This window comes from Homo sapiens, chromosome 4, assembly GCF_000001405.40.
Source record: "Homo sapiens chromosome 4, GRCh38.p14 Primary Assembly".
NCBI lineage: Eukaryota > Metazoa > Chordata > Mammalia > Primates > Hominidae > Homo > Homo sapiens.
This window is the reverse complement of record NC_000004.12, coordinates 177427556-177446220: the sequence shown is the minus strand read 5'-3', so window position 1 is coordinate 177446220 and position 18665 is coordinate 177427556. Positions and strand designations below refer to the sequence as shown.

Genomic DNA, 18665 nt, shown 5'->3' with positions numbered 1-18665 from the left:
ACTATTATTATCTCCATTTTATAGATGAGAAAAGCATGGCTTAGGAAGCTTACATGAGTTAACCACAGCTGATACACAGTCACCTTTTTTTAATTTTTTTTTTAATAGAGACAGGAATCTCGCTATGTTGCCCAGGCTGGTCTCAAACTCTTGGGCTCAAGCCATCCACCCACCTCAGCCTCCCAAAGTGCCAGGATTATGGACATGAGCCACTAGGCCTGGCCACACCCTAAGTTTTAAAATCTAAGTCTGGAAAATCCTCCTGAAGTATTGCTAGTTATAAGTAAGCTCTACTTAGGAACAGAAACATTTTGCCAAACAAAATTGTGTAATGCATTCTAAATTTAAATAAAAATACTTTTACAAATAGTTCCTTTGATTTATCAGTAACACTAAATATCTCTGCCCTGTGTATAATGATTTAAAAGAATGAAAAATTGGAGAGGATGCTGGAAAAACTGAGGATCATTTATTTTACGGTCTACTACTGAAACAGGAAAAGTTCCCTTGTCGCCCTTGCAGGGCGTGTGATGGGGGTGTGGCTCGCTTCTTCAGTGTCCTGCTGCTCAAACCTCTATAGGGGCATACAGACGGGCAGATTGTGAGGCTCTGACCCCACAGCAGTGTCTAGGTGTGAATGTTTACAGCTGAAGCCCCAGTGGGCATGTGTTACAGGGTGCTCTTTTAGTTTAACCGTCTGTAGGCGGCTTGTGTTAGCTCAATTAGACCCCTGCCTTATCGCAAAGACAGAGGGCTTTCTGTATCCCGGGTTCTTACCTTGGTGTACGGGAAGAATTGGATCACACGTGGGCTTGAAGAATGAGTGGAAAGTTTTATTGAGTGGAAGTAGCTCTCGGCAGACGGGGGAACCAGAAGGGAGACGGTTTTCTCCTGGAGTCAGGTATGGCGGCCTGACTCTTCTCTGACCTCCCGCGACAAACTCTGCATTCTTCCGCTGGTCAATGGCCTGCCAGCATGCCGGTGTGCTCCTATGCTGGTGCGTTCCTTTCGACATCCAGCAGCCCCTGTATTCTCTGCCTATATGCTCCTCTCAATGTCCAGCTGCTTGTGCGTCTGCCTGCCAGGGTCTCGGGGGTTTTTAAAGGCACAGGATGAGGGCATGGCAGGCCAGGGTGGTCTTGGGAAATGCAACATCCGGGCAGGAAAACAAAAATGCCTGTCTTCACCTAGGTAGGCCCAGGCCCAGGGATGAAGCCCTAGCTGGGGACCACGCCCTCCTCTACCCAGCACTTCCCGCCCCCCTTCCTTATCATTTAAAGGGACCACGCCCTTCCCTTCCCAGCATTCCCTTCCCAGCACTTTCCTGCGGCATCACTACCTGTTAACAGGTGTTCCTTTTCGTTTAGATTTACCTCAAAACAACGGCGAAGGATCTAATTATATTTAGGCCCAAAAGAGCACCTAAGTGAGAGTAACAGAAGGTTACTTCTAGAACTAAAATGAAAATTATTCTTCAAGTGTTAGTCAAAGGAAAACTACTCCAGAAGGAACCAAATATCCAGACGAATTTAACTTAAGAAACAGCTACAATTTAGGCAAACTGGACAGTGGATCCAGTAGGTATTTTAGTAGCCACTAAGAAGACACTGAATCGGGTAGATTCTATAGGGATTGCATATTAGTTATTTAAATACAAATATCCGGCTGGGCACGGTGGCTCACACCTGTAATCCCAGCATTTTGGGAGGTCGGGGGGGTGGGGGCGGTGGGTGGATCACCTGTGTCAGGAGTTCAAGACCAACCTGGCCAAAATGGCAAAACCTGTCTCTACTTAAAATACAAAAATTAGCCGGGCATGGTAGTAGGCAGTAGCAATCCCAGCTACTCAGGAGGCTGGGGCAAGAGAATCGCTTGAATGCAGGAGGTGGAGGTTGCAGTGAGCTGAGATTACACCAGTGAACTCCAGCCTGGGCGATAGAGCAAGACTCCATCTCAAAAAATAAATACATACATACATACATACATACAAATATCCATGGAAAAGTTGATATATTGAGACCTTCTATCAGCCATTCCCACTATAGTGTAATTTAGCTGTTTCTCTGACAGGAATTTTTATTTAAGAAGAAAGAATTTGGAGAAATAGACATAGTAGGAGGTAACAGATCAGGCTCTTTCCACCAGAAGAAACACAAATACCTTAAAAAACAGGAAGAGGCTAGAGAGATCAGTGGGGTACTAAGACCAATTTTCCATGTATTGTATTTTACAATTTTTGCTAAAGGCATGTCCTAATTCCTTAAGGCTGCATAAAAATACTCAGCCCAGGAGCTAAGGAAAATTTACTCAGAGGACAATGTATGTTTTTCTGGCTTTCTTACCCTGTTTCACCCAAGTTTCCAGTTTCACCTGCCATTGGGTTATGATTACTCCAGCACAGATGACTTGTTCCTCTTCCAAACCCCATGAAAGGAACTTAGAAAATTTGTCTTTATTATATCTTTTAATTAACACTTCCCCAACGGGATAATGATACTTCTGGGCTATCTTATGTTCTTTAAATTATGTATTTAATTTCCTAGCAATCAATAAGAGCCTTGAAGGTTTTGTAAGTCTCACAACTCCTACCTAGTTTATATTTTTACATTTATTTATTTATTTATTTTTGAGACAGAATCTCACTCTGTTGTCCAGGCTGGAGTGAAGTGGTGCGATCTCGGCTCACCACAATCTCCACCTCCCGGCTTCAAGCAATTCTGCCTCAGCCTCCCAAGTAGTTGGGACTACAGGCATGCACCACCACGCCCGGCTAATTTTTGTATTTTTAGTAGAGACGGGTTTCACTATGTTGGCCAGGCTGGTCTCGAACTCCTGACCTCGTGATCCACCCACCTCAGCATCCCAAAGTGTTGGGATTACAGGCGTGAGCCATCGTGCCCAGCCTAGTTCATATTTTTAAAGTTTGTATAGATTTATAGATGCTTTTAAAAATTATGTGATTATGTGTCTTGCCTTGGCAACCTGGGCAGGCATTCCAGACACCCAAAGGGATTATTAGTTCATGTTCGCACGTCTGCCCAGCAACAAAACTGAGCAGCCTCCACCAAGCACGTAAAATCCCCATTCCTCCTCTTATTCATTTATTTAGCACTTAATAGTGCCAGGCAGGAAGGTAAAAATACATTTAAAAAGGAATGGAGGTAGCCGTCTTGCCCTGGAGGTGCAGGAAGCTGCACTTCAGTGTGCTAGGTAGAGGGTACATAGGCCGTTTCTGTTTTTCTTCCAGCTCAGGGATTTATAATGAGAGGAAGTGCTACAAAAAGCTGTGGTGCGAAAATGACGGACGCTATGAATGGAAAAAAAATCTAAAATCAATCCGGTCCTAAGCAAACACGCTTCACCTACACTCATAACTATTGCAGACCTCCGAGGCCTGGGATCCCCAAGAATATACTGAGTTTGACAAACTTTTCAACTTCAACTTTAAATTAAAAAGACAGTAAAAGAACCAAATCCATAGTACACAGCAATCGGCTAAAGTTCCTGGGGCCCTGCAACCCAGAGTTGAATAATTTTGTATTAAATTCCCAATATCAAGCTAAATCTATTTTAACCACAGGAAAAGCAGCAACTTGTCTGGCTATTTTAAAAATCTGAACAGCACTTAGGAAGAAGCACCTTAGCGCAGGGAACAGCTCAGTGCCCCGTGACACAACTCTCCCGCGGGCCCAGGGACGCCTCGTCTCGCGAGAGTTGAGGGACGCCTGAGCGAACCCCCGAGAGAGCGGGCGTGGGCGCCAGGCGGGCGGGGCACTGGGGATTAATTGTTCGGCGATCGCTGGCTGCCGGGACTTTTCTCGCGCTGGTCTCTTCGGTGGTCAGGGATGGCGCGGAAGTCGAACTTGCCTGTGCTTCTCGTGCCGTTTCTGCTCTGCCAGGCCCTAGTGCGCTGCTCCAGCCCTCTGCCCCTGGTCGTCAACACTTGGCCCTTTAAGAATGCAACCGAAGCAGGTGCGGGTTGGCGGCCTGGGCGGGCGGCTGCGCCGCGAGAGCTTGCGGGTGGGGATGACTAGCCCGCCCCGCTGCAGTCACCCGGCAGGGCGGACGGAAGAGCGCCGGGCTGGGCCGGGCCTCGCGGTCCCGCCCTCTAGGTCTTCCCGAGTCTCCAGCGCCGCTCAGTCTCTTGCAAGTGGCCTTTACTGCATCCTCCCCACCTACCGCTGTTGCATTTTAGGTCCTCCCTTCATGCAGCCCCCAGCGCAATGTATTTTCCACCCTGCTGCTGACCATAGTTATGGCCTTTGTGCTTTAATCAAGTAGCAGCTACGCTTTTCTGCCTGACAGTCTTTTCACGGGCTGTGTACGTCTCCACCTCTCGTTTCTAATCCTTCACTTCTTTGCAATTTTGTAGACGACTAATAGTGTCCCAGCCATAGCCTACTCTTTTCCCATTTACTTTTTTTGCCACGTGTTGTCATACTTTACCTGCCACTTAGAATTCAAGGTTCCAACCTTTGCTGTACATTCACACTATCTGGGGAGCTTCTCAAAAATCATCCTGCCGGGGCCCACCTCCTGTGACTGTGATCTAACTGCTGGAATCAGGGCCACTGTTTTTCTTTAAAAAGCTCCCTAGGTGATTTCGATTTGCAGACAGGGTTGAGAACCACTAAGCTAAGGTATCACCTCTTCCAGGAAGCGTTCCCTGACTTAACTGCCCTCGTGTCCAGAATGAGTTAGGTTCCTGCCTTCTACACCTTGTTAATAGCCTTTACGTACCATTATCTTGGCATTTTCGCATTGTACTATGCTTGTTTCTTTCATTTGCTTAATGACCAGAAGAGTCATTTTCAGACCCCTCCTCCTCCATCTGAGGTTGCTAACGTATTAACTTTCTAGGGCAGAATTGGCTCCAGAATTTGGTGGCAGTGCATACGATTCAGAGAAAATGAAGAAGCAGGCTGTGAGAAAGATATTCCCAGCCATAATGAGACGAAAAGAAATTGCATCAGCCTGGGCGGGGGACAGTTCTGTGTTTAAGTTGCCTGTATTGAAAGAGGGAACTTGCGTAAATACACTTTCAAGCCTGTAGGTGCTGTAGTGTTTACCAACCAGAGCACCCACTCTTCAAGGAATTCTGTTGTTACCAGAAAAGAAATTGTCCATCAAAGACCCTTCCCCCCACACCCCCAAATGTATGGGATCCTGGCTCTGCTACTTACCAGCTGTGTGACCTTAAACTAACTGCCTGACCTGTGGCTCTGTTTACTTTTCTTTAAAATGAGGGTCGTGATTGTACAGTACCTACCACAGAAGCTGTTATGAAGACTCAATGAACTAATCCATATGAAGTCCACGTTGTAATTGTTTGCTGTTCAGTATTATTAAGACTTCCTGGGATAGGTGTTACCTCAATACACATATCAATTATGCATATTTTAATCTAATGATGCAGAAGAAATGTGTGAAGAAGGCTGCGGTTTAGTGGATTTTTTATTTAACTGCCTTTTAGTGGTTTCGATTGTACCTTTTAAAATAAAGGAGGGGATACTGATTTCGTTTCTCGCACACAGAAGAGATAGATATTAGTAAGTGAAAAAAAAAAAAACCTTCAGCTTGCACCAATAGCCAGTTTTTTGAGTTCTTCTGATAACTAGTTAAATAATTTTGACTCTTCACTGACTCCTTTGTAACACTTGATAAACTAATGTGTTAAAAAATCAGCTTAACTCAGTAAATGTGAAAAAGTTGTTAAATTGGAGTTGGTTTGTTGCATTTGGCATTGAAAAAAAAATATATATATAAACAAGCATTATTGGGATTTGATTAACAGCGTGGAGGGCATTAGCATCTGGAGGCTCTGCCCTGGATGCAGTGGAGAGCGGCTGTGCCATGTGTGAGAGAGAGCAGTGTGACGGCTCTGTAGGCTTTGGAGGAAGTCCTGATGAACTTGGAGAAACCACACTAGATGCCATGATCATGGATGGGTAAGAACACCGTTCAGGTCCTATTTATTATGTTGAGTTACATTTAGAGTTGTGGTCTTCTGAGAGCAAGATGAAAGAATGCATGAGTTTTGACACAGATCAAAACCCCTAGCTTATTATACTTGACCTTTCTAAACACAGTTTCCCTCTCAACTGAAAAAAAAAAATCAGAGTAATAGAAATATCACATGGAGAGATAGGTAGTCCCTTAGAACTGGGAGAATGCCAAGCTAAAAAACTATGTCTCTGACCTTATAAACAATCATTTATCTGCTGTCCACAAATGCTGTGGTTTGCCTGACCTGAAGCCTTCAGGCCCCTTTCAAAAGCCATATTTAAAATTAGCTTGGAGAAACTGAGAATTTTAGTGCTGTTGTGGTACATGGCAAGTTGATTTTCTATTTTTTTTCCTTAATTTTGTCTGATTGTGGGAATCTATATGAACTTCGTGGATGTGCTGTCACTTCTGTGTTAAGATGGTGGAGTTTAACCGCAAAACACTATTGATTGGAGAAAAGCAATGTTTTTAATCTATGAACCTCTGAAAACTCCTTAATTCCTAACTGCATTCTATTTTCTTGCAGCACTACTATGGATGTAGGAGCAGTAGGAGATCTCAGACGAATTAAAAATGCTATTGGTGTGGCACGGAAAGTACTGGAACATACAACACACACACTTTTAGTAGGAGAGTCAGGTATTTTTTTAACTACACTGAAATTTTTTCTAGTCTTTTGACTATAGTTTTCACTGAAAAATAGTACAAAATCATGGATAAAACCAGATCTAAGTTCAAATTCCAGCTGTTTTACTTAACATCTATTGAACTGGATAAGTAACTTTTAAATCTCTTTACTTCTTCATCTCTAAGAAGAAGGCAATGGAAGTTTTGAGACGGAGTTTCGCTCTTGTCACCCAGGCTGGAGTGCAATGGCGCGATCTCAGCTCCCGACAACCTCTGCCTCCTGGGTTCAAGTGATTCTCCTACCTCAGCCTTCCAAGTAGCTGGGATTACAGGCACGTGCCACCATGCCCAGCTAATTTTTATATTTTTAGTAGAGACGGGGTTTCACCATGTTGGCCAGGATGGTCTCAATCTCTTGACTTCGTGATCCACCCGCCTCAGCCTCCCAAAGTGCTGGGATTACAGGTGTGAGCCACCGCGCCTGGCCGGGACGAGAACTCTTATAATGCATGCCCCAAAGGTTTTAAGTGGATCTGTTTTAGGAAAGGCATAAGGAAATCGAAGGTCTAAAAATTGAGTCTCTTAAAACTGTTCATGTGTGAATATTCCTTTGAAAGTCTTTGTGTAGCTCACTTAAGATGCTGCTGACCCAGAATGTCTCTAGTACATATATTTTTGTTGAAAAGACAATACTTGAATAATTTATACTTTCCTTTTTTCCAATCTCCAGCCACCACATTTGCTCAAAGTATGGGGTTTATCAATGAAGACTTATCTACCACTGCTTCTCAAGCTCTTCATTCAGATTGGCTTGCTCGGAATTGCCAGCCAAATTATTGGAGGGTATGCACACATTTAATTTAAAAAAATAAGTTAATTGAAAATATTCAGTGACATCCTTTCTGCTCAGTGTTGCCTGCCTGTTGTCCAGGGTACTGGTTAGCATCCTGGCTGTACATTAGAACTAGTGGTTTTAGTTGACTCTCCAGGTATGGATGTTCCTGAAACACCTCTAGCTGCATTGGGTGCATATCCAGCATGGAGAGCTACTGGTCTCTCACAATAGTTTTCAAACTGAAGTTTCTGCCATGTGGAGGTGGCTGCCTCAATCAGGGCTGCTCTGCTTGTATTTCTTTCTAACTAAGTCTAAAAAATCAGTTTGGAAACTATGAGTCTAAAATATTTCTTAGATTTTACGTGCAGTGTATCCAGTATCTTGTTCTTGACTTGAGGACATGTAATATTACATGTCTAGTATGTTACCAGTGGAATAATTTTTCTTTAATGAGACTTTTGGCATAAATCAGTTTGCCTTTGCCGTACAGGGTCCTTCTGTGGGATATCTTAGTCTCTCATCTATTTCTTCCCTAAGTCCTAATTACTTTCGAGTAGCCATCAAGTCAGAAGTCCCTTGGGTTAGCACTTGAAAGAGGCTAATCATAAAACGAAGTTAGGGGAGGCACCTAGCGCACTGATGTGTAAGACATGAGGAATAGGAATAGGTTTCTTGCTTTAATACCAGTCTACATACACAACCTAAATTTATGAGTTTGCATTATATTCTTGAGCCCTTTAGATTTATAAAGGAATCTTAAAGCACAACTTAGAATATATTCACATAAACCTAGCTTTGAAGAAACAATAAAAGCTTTTAAAACATATTTTACTTTAAGTCTCAGAATTCTTTGGCCAAGGAACAAATTTCTGAAATTTAAAGGTCCAGTGTGTATCTAATTTCTTTAAGGATTAATATCTAATTTTAAAAAATTTTACTATTGTGTTGAGAATTTTAGATATATATAAAGAGAGAAATTAGGGACCTGTGTCATGCAATATAGATACCTCACCTGTATTATTTAATTCTTAGACTAGAATGGATATTCAGTAAAATTATTTATCTTATTTGTTTTTATATAAGACTTAGTGATTTCTTAGCTTTTAATTCTTATCTTTAAGTTACCAGATGTCTTTTTTTGGTTTCTTGCTAGTGTTTAGCGATTGTACATAATTTCTTGGCAATTTCTAAAAATACCCTTTGTAAGAAATAAAACTTAAATCTTGTTTACAGAATGTTATACCAGATCCCTCAAAATACTGCGGACCCTACAAACCACCTGGTATCTTAAAGCAGGATATTCCTATCCATAAAGAAACAGAAGATGATCGTGGTCATGACACTATTGGTAATTTGCCTTTTGTGCAGTTTTTATGGATAAAGTTTAGTTAATTATCTTCCTGTAGCTCTTCCCTATTCTTCTACCAGAAGTTGATTTTGATTGTTTTAACTGCCAATTAAGTGTGCCTCTCTATAGATAGATCCATCTTGTCTTAGGATCTGTATAAAATTTGGCAAATTATTTATACAAGACACCTAAAACCCAATGACTATTCACTTGCGGATTTTTAAATCTTTATTTGACATTTCATTTTTTGGCAGTTTTATGTTGCTGTATTTTAGTGACCTTAAATAACTTTTTCCAAGTTACAATGTTGAAAATTTACATTAGTCTATGTCTTAGTTTGTTTTTCGCTGTTATAACAGACTACCACAGACTGGGTAATTTATAAACAAAAGTTTATTTGCCTCACAGTTCTGGAGCCTGAGAAGTTCAAGAACAGGGCACTGGCATCTGGCAAGGGCCATCCCAAGGTGGAAGTCAAGAGAATGAGACAGGAAATCGGGTAGAACTCATCCTTTATATCAGGAACCCACTCCCTGCGATAATGGCATTAAGCCCTTTTAGCCTAATCGCCTCTTAAAGGCCCCACCTGTTAATAATAATTAATAATGTTAATTGCCTGTTATAGTGGCAGTTAACAAAATACCCAGACTGGATGGCTTATAAACAACAGAAATTTATTTCTCACAGTTACGGAGGCTGGGAAGTTCAAGGTCAAGGCGCTGGCAGGTTCAGAGTTTGGAGACAGCTTGTTTTCCTGGCTCATGGATGGCGTCTTCTTGCTGTGTCGTCACGTGGTGGAAGGGGCGAGGAAGCTCTCTGGGGCCTCATTTATAAGGGATGAATTCCATTCATGGGGGCTCTGTCCTCATGACCTAATGAGCTCCCAAAGGCCTCACCTCTTGATACCATCACCTTGTGGAATAGGATGTTGACATGAATTTGGGGGAACACAAACATTCAGAGCACAGCAGTTATTACCAGTTGCTCAATTATTTGGTTATATTTGAGGTAAACTTTATACACCTACAGTGATTTTTTTTTTTTAACTTCTAGGCATGGTTGTAATCCATAAGACAGGACATATTGCTGCTGGTACATCTACAAATGGTATAAAATTCAAAATACATGGGTTAGTGTTTCCAAAAGAACAGAGCTCTCAAATATACACTGAATGCAGAGCAATATATGCCGGGTGCTATGGGGGTTGCAAAGCACAGCCCTAGTCTCACAGCTGCGATGAATGAGTGTGAAAGAAAATGCAGTACTCTCTGCTGAGTGCCACAGGAGAGGGAGTCACAGCCAGTGCTATAGGGTTTAGGGGTGGCAGAGGTGATCTCTTTAAGCTGGGGTAGTTAGGAACACCAGTAAAGTGATGCTTGGAGCTCAGCCCTGAGTCATGGTAGTTGAGGTTCAGCGCTCCTACTGGCTAGGAAAGTTGTGTGTGTATATGTGTGTGTGTGTTCAGGGCTCCCACTGGGGTGTGTGTATGTGTGCATGTGTTCAGAACTCCCACTGGCTTGGAAAGAAGGGGTGTGTGTGTGTGTGTGTGTGTGCGTGCACGCAGAACTACTGGCTTGGAAAGAAGGGGTGTGTGTGTGTATGTGTGCGTGTGCGTGCACGCTCAGGGCTCCCACTGGTGTGGGTGTGTGTGTGTGTATTCAGGGCTCCCACTGGCTAGGGAAGAAGGGGTGTGGGGGTGTGTGTGTATTTTGGGGTAGGGGAAGTGGTATTGGAAGATAAGACTACAAGGGAAGACTGGGGCCAGATTTAAGGAGTCTTAAGTCAGTTGAAGGCATTCTGGATTTAATTTTGAAATAGAAAAGCATTAAACATTTCTTACTAGAAAAAAATCTGGTAAAAGTTTGGCACATTACATAGGAAGCGGAAATAGATTATAGATGAGGGAAACCAATTTTGAACATGTTGCAATCATCTGGAAATTAGATGATAAAGGATGGTAATAATAGAATAGTCACTGTAAATCTGTGCCATCCTGGTATATACCTGGCTGATAACAAGTTCTTTTAAAAAATTAATTTTAATGACAATGAAAATTATGTGTATTTGTGGTGTACAACATGATACTTTGATATATGTATATGTTGTAGAATGGCTAAATCAAGCTATTTAACTTATTATCTCACAGACCTATTTTATTATGGTGAGAACACTTAAAATCTACTTAGCAGTTTTCAGCTGGGTGCAGTGGCTCACGCCTGTAATCCCAGCTCTTTGGGAGGCCAAGGCAGGCAGATCACCTGAGGTCAGGAGTTCGAGACCAGCCTGGCCAACATGGTGAAACCCAGTCTCTACTGAAAAAAAAAAAAATACAAAAAATTAGCTGAGCTTGGTGGTTCGTGTCTGTAGTCCCAGCTACTCAGGAGGCTGAGGCAGGGAGAATCGCTTGAACCCAGGAGGCGGAGGTTGCAGTGAGCCAAGATCAATGCCATTGCACTCCAGCTGGGTGACAGAGCAAGACTCCTGTCTCAAAAAAAAAAAATCTACTTCGCAGTTTTCAAATGTGCACTCTATTGTTATTAACCTTAGTCAGCATGATCCGCAGTAGGCCTCTGGAACTTACCCTCCTGCCTAACTGGAATTGTGTGTCCTTTGACCCGCATCTCGCCAGGTCCCCCTCCCCCCAGCCTCCAGTAACCACCATTTTAGTCTCTGTTTCTGTGAGTTCAGCTGTTGTACACTCCACGTCTGATAACAAATTCTTACATAATTAATGCAGGTTTGTGAAAACCTTAGTTAAAAAACTAATGAAGACCTGTTCTGTCTTTGTTCCGATGAAGAATTTACTTAAAACGGTATCAGAGGCTAAGTGGAACTATCCCTTATTTGGAACAGCTTATGACTTAATGTGTTTTACACTCGATTTCCTGCCGTAAATTGTTAATACCCTCTCAAAGCCGTGTAGGAGACTCACCAATACCTGGAGCTGGAGCCTATGCTGACGATACTGCAGGGGCAGCCGCAGCCACTGGGAATGGTGATATATTGATGCGCTTCCTGCCAAGGTATGACTTCTTAGTTTGTGAATTTTAGAGACCTTTGGAGAAGATATTTTTTTCTTTTAAGATAGAAAATAATTTTTGAGGCTGGGTGCAGTGGCTCACGACTGTAATCCTAGCATTTTGGGAGACTGAGGCAGGTGGATCACCTGAGGTCAGGAGTTTGAGACCAGCCTGGCCAACATGGTCTCGAACTCCTGACCGTTTCTACTAAAAATACAAAAAATTTAGCTGGGCATGGTGGCACAAGTCTATAGTCCCAGCTACTCGGGAGGCTGTGGTAGGAGAATCGCTTGAACCTGGGAGACAGAGGTTGCAGTGAACCAAGATCGCGCCACTGCACTCCAGTGTGGGCAACAAGAATGAGACTGTGTCTCAAGAAAATAAAAGAAAGAAAACATAATTTTTGTATTGTGTAACCTGAATTTCTGTGCACAAGAGCTTCTTAGAAACTGCATACAAACTTGTTGCCTATCATTTTGATAATGATAATCATTCAAGTTAAGTAATCATAGTCCTGTGAAATAAAGTAGTATTTCTCACCCTGCTTCCCAGATGAGAATACTTATGATCTATTTAGTAATTGATGTAAAGCTACTGAGTAAAGGAGCTGTGATAATTGATGGTAAAAGTAGGAAGTGCAGTCATCGTGTACCTTTAACCACCCTAGCTAGATGTTGTGCCCATGCACACTACTTTCCCCTTTGATTGTAGCTGTTTTTCTCATTGAAAATCTGTATTCTTTTTGAGTTCTGGCCATTACATTTGACTGTCGGTATCATTACTGACAGTTATTCAGCCAAAGCCAAAAATAATATTCCACATCTGAAATTCATGGGTGGATTAGTTGAAAAGATAGACTCTGTATCAAAGTGGACTTGCTTTGTGGATGCTTTAACAGAAGTAACCGACTCTTGTTCATTTATGTGTATTCTATCACATGTGGCAATTTTGGTGGTTTTAATTTCTAACTTCAAGTAACCCAATTTGGAGTTAGTATTTATTCTGAGACACTAAGGTTTCACCTCTGTTTCAATCAGCTACCAAGCTGTAGAATACATGAGAAGAGGAGAAGATCCAACCATAGCTTGCCAAAAAGTGATTTCAAGAATCCAGAAGCATTTTCCAGAATTCTTTGGGGCTGTTATATGTGCCAATGTGACTGGAAGTTACGGTAAGTTGTGTTTGGATTTTGTATTTGTGTGAACTTCCAAATATTTCTAAAACATACACTTTTTAAATATTGTTTTGTACAATACACTATATTCAATAGAAAAAGAGACTCCTTAAGTGGGCATTGAGTAAATGTTCATTGATGATCTCAAGACCCACAGCGTTAAAAATATACCTAAAAGCCTCTTTGGATTGACTGCTGGTAGTTATGACCCAGTCTCTGACTAGTAGTTCTTATCTTTCACATGTGTCTTAAATGAAGTTTAGCTTCAGCTCCAGTACACGTTGACATAGGCTAATCTAGTCAAATGTTTATACTAATTAAAAATAGACAAGGATAAATTATCTTCCCTATTTCTTTTCTATTCATTATTTAAATGCCTCAGCCATTTAGATCTTCTCGGGGCTCCAAAGAACAAAATGTATTACTAATTAGTAAACCGAAGAGGTTAGCAGAATTATTTTTGCACTGTTTGAGGCTTGTCTTTCACTTCATTTACTTTCCATATGAGCCTATCACAGTTTCAAAGCATTTTAAGATCAGCCACTGCTGATTCTCATTAGTGAATTTTCAGATGGGGAAGATACACAGCTTACTGATCAATATGACTTATTAGGTTGGACTGCTTATTATTGTTCTTTGATCTTTTACTTCCCACAGTTCTATATTTGAAAAACTTGTTTGAGGAATGCTTTATTCTTTTTTAAGCACTAAGACACAAAAGTCAATAAAAATTATGAAGGGGAAAAGCTTTATGTATCAAATAAGGCAGTTCTATTGATTCCCTCTTAAGAAATAAACCTTATTAGAAAGCTCAAAGTTGGATTTAACAGAATGAAAAAAATGATAATTATATAATTGTGGATGAATTTACAGGTGACTAGTTTCTTCTATTTAATGACCAAAGAGGACCCTCCCCCAGGTGTTTGAGCATGAGAAGATGAACTTGATTAGACAAAGCATCTTGACAAATTACTCTTGACTCTTCCTGTGAGAGTAGAAGAATAGGGAGCAATGGTGGGGTATGGGGTTATGAATGAATGATGAGAATGTTCTAGTGGCTAGAGAAATAAAATGTGGGAGATGTGCCTGAATAGTTTTTTCTAAGAAAAACACGTAAGAACAGTTAAATAATCGTAGCAGTGACAGCATGTGTATAGATCAACAACAACAACAAAAACCAGCCAGTTTTCTGAAGTTCAAAGAGATAGTTTACCAGCTACCTCATTCCTTTCATGGACTGTTCACTGCTCAGTTCTGAGGAGGATGACACTAGTGTATTTCCATGTGGCTTAGACATAAGGTATACAGTAGCCAGTGTCTAGTCAAATAAGCAGTATCTGTATTGGTTATAAATATGTGCATCCTATAGTTCACCAAACTTCTTTCTCATTTTTGGCCCCAGGTGCTGCTTGCAATAAACTTTCAACATTTACTCAGTTTAGTTTCATGGTTTATAATTCCGAAAAAAATCAGCCAACTGAGGAAAAAGTGGACTGCATCTAATCCATCTTTACTGTCAACATCTGTATTTAAAGAAGAAAGAAACAAAGGCTGAAAAGGCTGCTCACTCTCATCATCTAGTGTTCCTCATGTGTTCTAAAGTCTTTTTGTAAAATAAACACAAAAATAAATTTATGTTGAATTGGCACTTTCTATATCTGAAATTGTATTATCTATTTTTATTTAACCTTTCTTATATTATCTGAAGATGAATATGTATGTGGCTGTATTTTGTATATATTTAAGTTTTAAGTGACACTTGGATTTCTGATCAGTGTTGCAAAAAATTGCTACTTTGAGATTTATTTCCACAGTGATATATTAAACCCAAAAGGAATCATCATATTTGGATGCTTAAAATAGAGTATACAAGTTTTTTAGACCCAAAGAAAAAAACAGCAGAGTCTCAGCATGATCAGTCCTGATTGAATTTCATTATGTCACAGTGATGCATGTCTTAGCACTGATTATTGGTTTTACTTAATATTCCCTAAAAACTTGAGGAAGGAAGATGATAGAACATGAGATACTCTTTGTTTTGTACATACTAGAAAATACAGCTATCTTCTGATGAGCAATTGTGTTGATTTTCTTTGCTTTTTTCCTCTTATGGAGCTCTCAGTGTGTGAAAGTTCTAAAGCCACAAGAATCAATGATGTTTTAGCTGCTAATATTTAGTATTGATCGTTTCTTTTAAAAATGATTTGGGGAACTTGATCTGTACTGTAATTTTACTAATTCCTTGTGCAGAGGTGGGTATGGCAATTAGAAGTCAAGAAATGGGTTGTTTAGCTTGGTTTGTTTCCCTAACTTCTGATTAACTCTCTGTATGACAACTCTACAGAAGTTGTGCGCGTGCTTTCTCAGCAGCATTTTTCCTTCAAAATCATCTTTTTAATCAACAGTCATTAATAAATGTACATGTACGATATTCAAACTTTAGAATTTCAGCTGTTTTTTCTATGCTCATCTTATGTTCTTTCTAATTTAGGGGAGAAAGCTATCATTTTAAGAACAGTGTAAGTCACTTGTTCTGGGACCTTGCTGTGTATCAGAATTGTTTGGGGAGCCTCTTTCTTTAAAAATGCCCTCTGTCCCACTAAGTCAGATTCTCCATAAGTGAGGACTTGAAACCTGGAATTAGCAACTACTAATGGCAGCCCTACAGCTTCACACTCTCAGAGAAGGAATCTTCCTCCAGGGTTATCTGAGGTATGCTAACCTGCTTAAACCTGGTGCTGGGCCTTGGAAAAAGAAAAAAATCAGATTTAAACTTGCGGTTACATTAAGATGATACTTTTGTATATTTGCTTTCCATTAATAAATAAGGCAGTCATTTACAAAATCACCAGGAAAAGGAGAATGAAGTATTCATGGCCTGTCACTTCCCAGCAAATTGGGAGTTGAGCTGACAAAAGCAATCCACATATGTTTCTAAAAGATGTTTTCTTTTTAAGTCGCATTCTTCCTCAGAGAAATAATTTCCCTATATTTCTTAAGTAATGGAATTACTTTGTAAATACATTCGTAAAATTCAGTTTTGACTGTAATATTATTTAAATAATATAGGTGTGTCTTCTTTTGAAAAGAATTGTTTGTGTGTCCCTAGTGATGTTGTATACGGAGGGAACTTCTTTGATGATGTGATACCAGTGTTCACGGGGGTTGTGGGAAATACATGTAGGAAACTGGTGAAATATTAATAACACAGCTGGGAAAGAGAATTGTGAGCCAATCAGAAATACATTGAATTTGGAAGCGGTTCACTAAAATGGGAAAAGCAAGAAAGTAACTTGGGAAGGGAGCCTTAGAAAATGTAATCATGGTTTAACTTTTTTTTTTTTTTTTTTTGTTTTGAGACGGAGTCTCACTCTGTCGCCCAGGCTGGAGTGCAGTGGTGCGATCTCGGCTCACCGCAAGCCCCGCCTCATGGGTTCACACCATTCTCCTGCCTCAGCCTCCCGTGTAGCTGGGACTACAGGCACCCGCCACCACACCCGGCTAATTTTTGTATTTTTAGTAGAGATGGGGTTTCACCATGTTGGTCAGGCTGGCCTCAAACTCCAGACCTTGTGATCCACCTGCCTCGGCCTCCCAAAGTGCTGGGATTACGGGCGTGAGCCACCGCAGCTGGACTTGATTTAACTTTTTATGCCAGACAGTAGTTAATGGTTTGCCTCACATCTGTCCTGGTTGTATCATTGTATAGATTGCATGGCTATTACATAGCATAAGGTAAGGGATCTAGTTGCAGAATTTTCTTCCCCATTCTGGCAAGTTGCTTTTTGTTGTTGTTGTTGTTTTCCTTTGATCTTATAAAAAAATGTTCTATCACTTGCCTACTGCTAAGGTGAAATTAGATTGTCCTAAGCACATATATGGATTAAGCAACTTTTCTAAGTGATTCTGAGAACGAACATATTGTCACTTAGATTTTTATTATCAGCTTTTGTATTCTCTTTCTCTCTAAATGGATAAAAATTTCAGTGACAATATATATCAAGTGACAATATCTATAGATACATGTAGATATATATAAAGAGAAAAGTATATATGTATATGTATACATATATAATAAGTATGTATATGGAAAGAGGTATAAGTACTTGCCACCTGATTCTATTCTCTCCTGTTTTCTGCTTACACCTTTCATCTCATAACATTACTATTACAGAATAGCCTAGGAGTGTAGTGGGCAGTAGTTTGAGCATTCTTTTAGCTCAATTTAACACCCCCACTTAGAAAAAGAAACTGATTTTTGATATTAGCAATATTAAAATTTCTTGATTAATACTCCTGAGACTTCAGATAAACATCACTCAAGTGCTTTGTGTTTTTAGCACAATAGGCAAAGAGGAAAATGTTAACCACGGTATGTAGTAAAGATTTTGGTAGTTTCATGCTCTTTATTTGCTTTGATCAATCCCTGGAACTTAAAAAAATTATTTCACTGATTTAAATGGGCAACAAAGACTAATTGTAGGTTGATTCTTATTTCTGCTAGCCACAGTGTAAACTGGTTGTCATGAATCCTGTTCACCAAACATTTCCAGCTCTTCCTACCTGGCACATGGTAGGATTGTTCTTTTTTGCCTCTTGTGATCTGGTCCAGCCATGTGACGTTCCGGTCATGAGTTTTGAGCATTTTTTTTCAAACCTGACAACATGATGGTGGTTGTCCTTGAGGGACCGTAATGAAGAGAACCCCAGGACAGTGCAGGATGCACGTGTAGTGTGAACAAGAAATAAGCCCTTTTTTTTAAATTTATTATTATTATTTTTTTGAGACAGAGTCTCCCTCTGTTGCCCAGAATGGAATGCAGTGGTGCAATCTCAGCTCACTGCAAGCTCCACCTCCTGGGTTCACACCATTCTCCCGCCTCAGCCTCCCAAGTAGCTGGGACTACAGGTGCCCACCACCACACCTGGCTGATTTTTTTGTATTTTCAGTAGAGACGGGGTTTCATGTGTTAGCCAGGACGGTCTTGATCTCCTGACCTCATGATCCGCCCGCCTCGGCCTCCCAAAGTGCTGGGATTACAGGCATGAGCTACTGCGCCCGGCCAAAATAAGCCTTTCTGTTGTGACACAGCATAAACTACCCTATCCTGACTGATACGTAGAGCATGGTTAGGCCAGGCACAGGGGCTCTTGCCTATAATCCCAGCACTTTGGGAGGCCGAGACAGGAGGATCACTTGAGCCCAGGGGTTTGAGACCAGCCTGGGCAATAACATAATTTTGTAGAGACCTGGTCTCTACAAAAAATACGCAAAATTAACTGGATGTGGTGGCTCATGCCTGTAGTTTCAGCCACCGCAGAAGCTGAGGTGGTGAGATTACTTGAGCCTGGGAGGTTGAAGCTGCAGTGAGCTGAGATCGTGCCACTCCGCTCCAGCCTGGATGACAAAGTGAGACCATCTCAAAAAAAAAGAAAGAAAGAATTTAAAGAGTTTTTGTGGAGGTTATTAAACTGGTGACAAATGAAACTCTCTAAAGGACAAAAGGAATTTAAAAAAAATAGATGCCTAGAAAGGTATCATTAGGAAATTAATCAAAAAGTTAAAGGTACTACTTTGTAGGAAGGTTGTGGGTGACTTTATCTTAATAATATTTGTACGTTTTTAAAAAAGAAGCATCCATACCATAAGATTCC

At 40.8% G+C, this 18665-nt stretch overlaps 1 protein-coding gene and 1 long non-coding RNA gene across 29 annotated transcripts in view, besides 3 other annotated features; one reads left to right on the top strand and one right to left on the bottom strand.

Annotated features, from left to right (window-relative positions):
- AGA-DT (AGA divergent transcript) overlaps positions 1-3707 on the bottom strand; it is a 255397-nt gene extending 251690 nt beyond the window's left edge. For 20 of the 25 annotated variants that reach the window (NR_183777.1, NR_183778.1, NR_183779.1 and 17 more), the window contains exon 1: positions 778-1211. This is a non-coding gene — a long non-coding RNA (AGA divergent transcript). Of the gene's footprint in view, positions 1-777; positions 1212-3639 lie in introns of those variants that run through there. The other 5 variants (NR_183786.1, NR_183781.1, NR_183795.1 and 2 more) reach the window with 1 other exon arrangement.
- Positions 3119-3198: an enhancer, noted in NCBI's record as "active region_22171". NCBI's record gives its function as "activates an Ori minimal core promoter by ATAC-STARR-seq in GM12878 lymphoblastoid cells {active_cell/tissue: GM12878}" and the evidence as "EXISTENCE:reporter gene assay evidence [ECO:0000049][PMID:35858748]".
- Positions 3289-3832: an enhancer, noted in NCBI's record as "H3K27ac hESC enhancer chr4:178363543-178364086 (GRCh37/hg19 assembly coordinates)". NCBI's record gives its function as "activates a minimal SCP1, AML or CMV promoter by ChIP-STARR-seq in primed H9 embryonic stem cells {active_cell/tissue: H9 hESC(primed)}" and the evidence as "EXISTENCE:reporter gene assay evidence [ECO:0000049][PMID:30033119]".
- AGA (aspartylglucosaminidase) lies at positions 3784-15447 on the top strand. 4 transcript variants are annotated; one of them, NM_001171988.2, is made up of 9 exons: positions 3784-3972; positions 5795-5948; positions 6533-6645; positions 7364-7476; positions 8702-8816; positions 9870-9923; positions 11740-11839; positions 12874-13007; positions 14413-15447. In NM_001171988.2, the coding sequence occupies exons 1-9, from the start codon at positions 3846-3848 to the stop codon at positions 14511-14513; spliced, it is 1011 nt and encodes a 336-aa protein (NP_001165459.1). In that variant the 5' UTR covers positions 3784-3845; the 3' UTR covers positions 14514-15447. The 4 variants fall into 4 exon arrangements, 3 of the variants coding, with proteins under 3 accessions (NP_001165459.1, NP_000018.2, XP_047305678.1); NM_000027.4 differs by having other exon boundaries at positions 9870-9945; positions 11732-11839; NR_033655.2 differs by lacking the exon at positions 9870-9923 and having other exon boundaries at positions 11732-11839.
- Positions 4659-4738: an enhancer, noted in NCBI's record as "active region_22170". NCBI's record gives its function as "activates an Ori minimal core promoter by ATAC-STARR-seq in GM12878 lymphoblastoid cells {active_cell/tissue: GM12878}" and the evidence as "EXISTENCE:reporter gene assay evidence [ECO:0000049][PMID:35858748]".

Bases quoted from the DNA above. Each gene is read 5' to 3' on its own strand.
- AGA (NM_000027.4), top strand. From the start codon at position 3,846: ATGGCGCGGAAGTCGAACTTGCCTGTGCTTCTCGTGCCGTTTCTGCTC. The intron at 5,949-6,532 runs GTAAGAACACCG...ATTTTCTTGCAG, and splicing joins GATGCCATGATCATGGATGG to CACTACTATGGATGTAGGAG. The intron at 8,817-9,869 runs GTAATTTGCCTT...TTTAACTTCTAG, and splicing joins TCGTGGTCATGACACTATTG to GCATGGTTGTAATCCATAAG.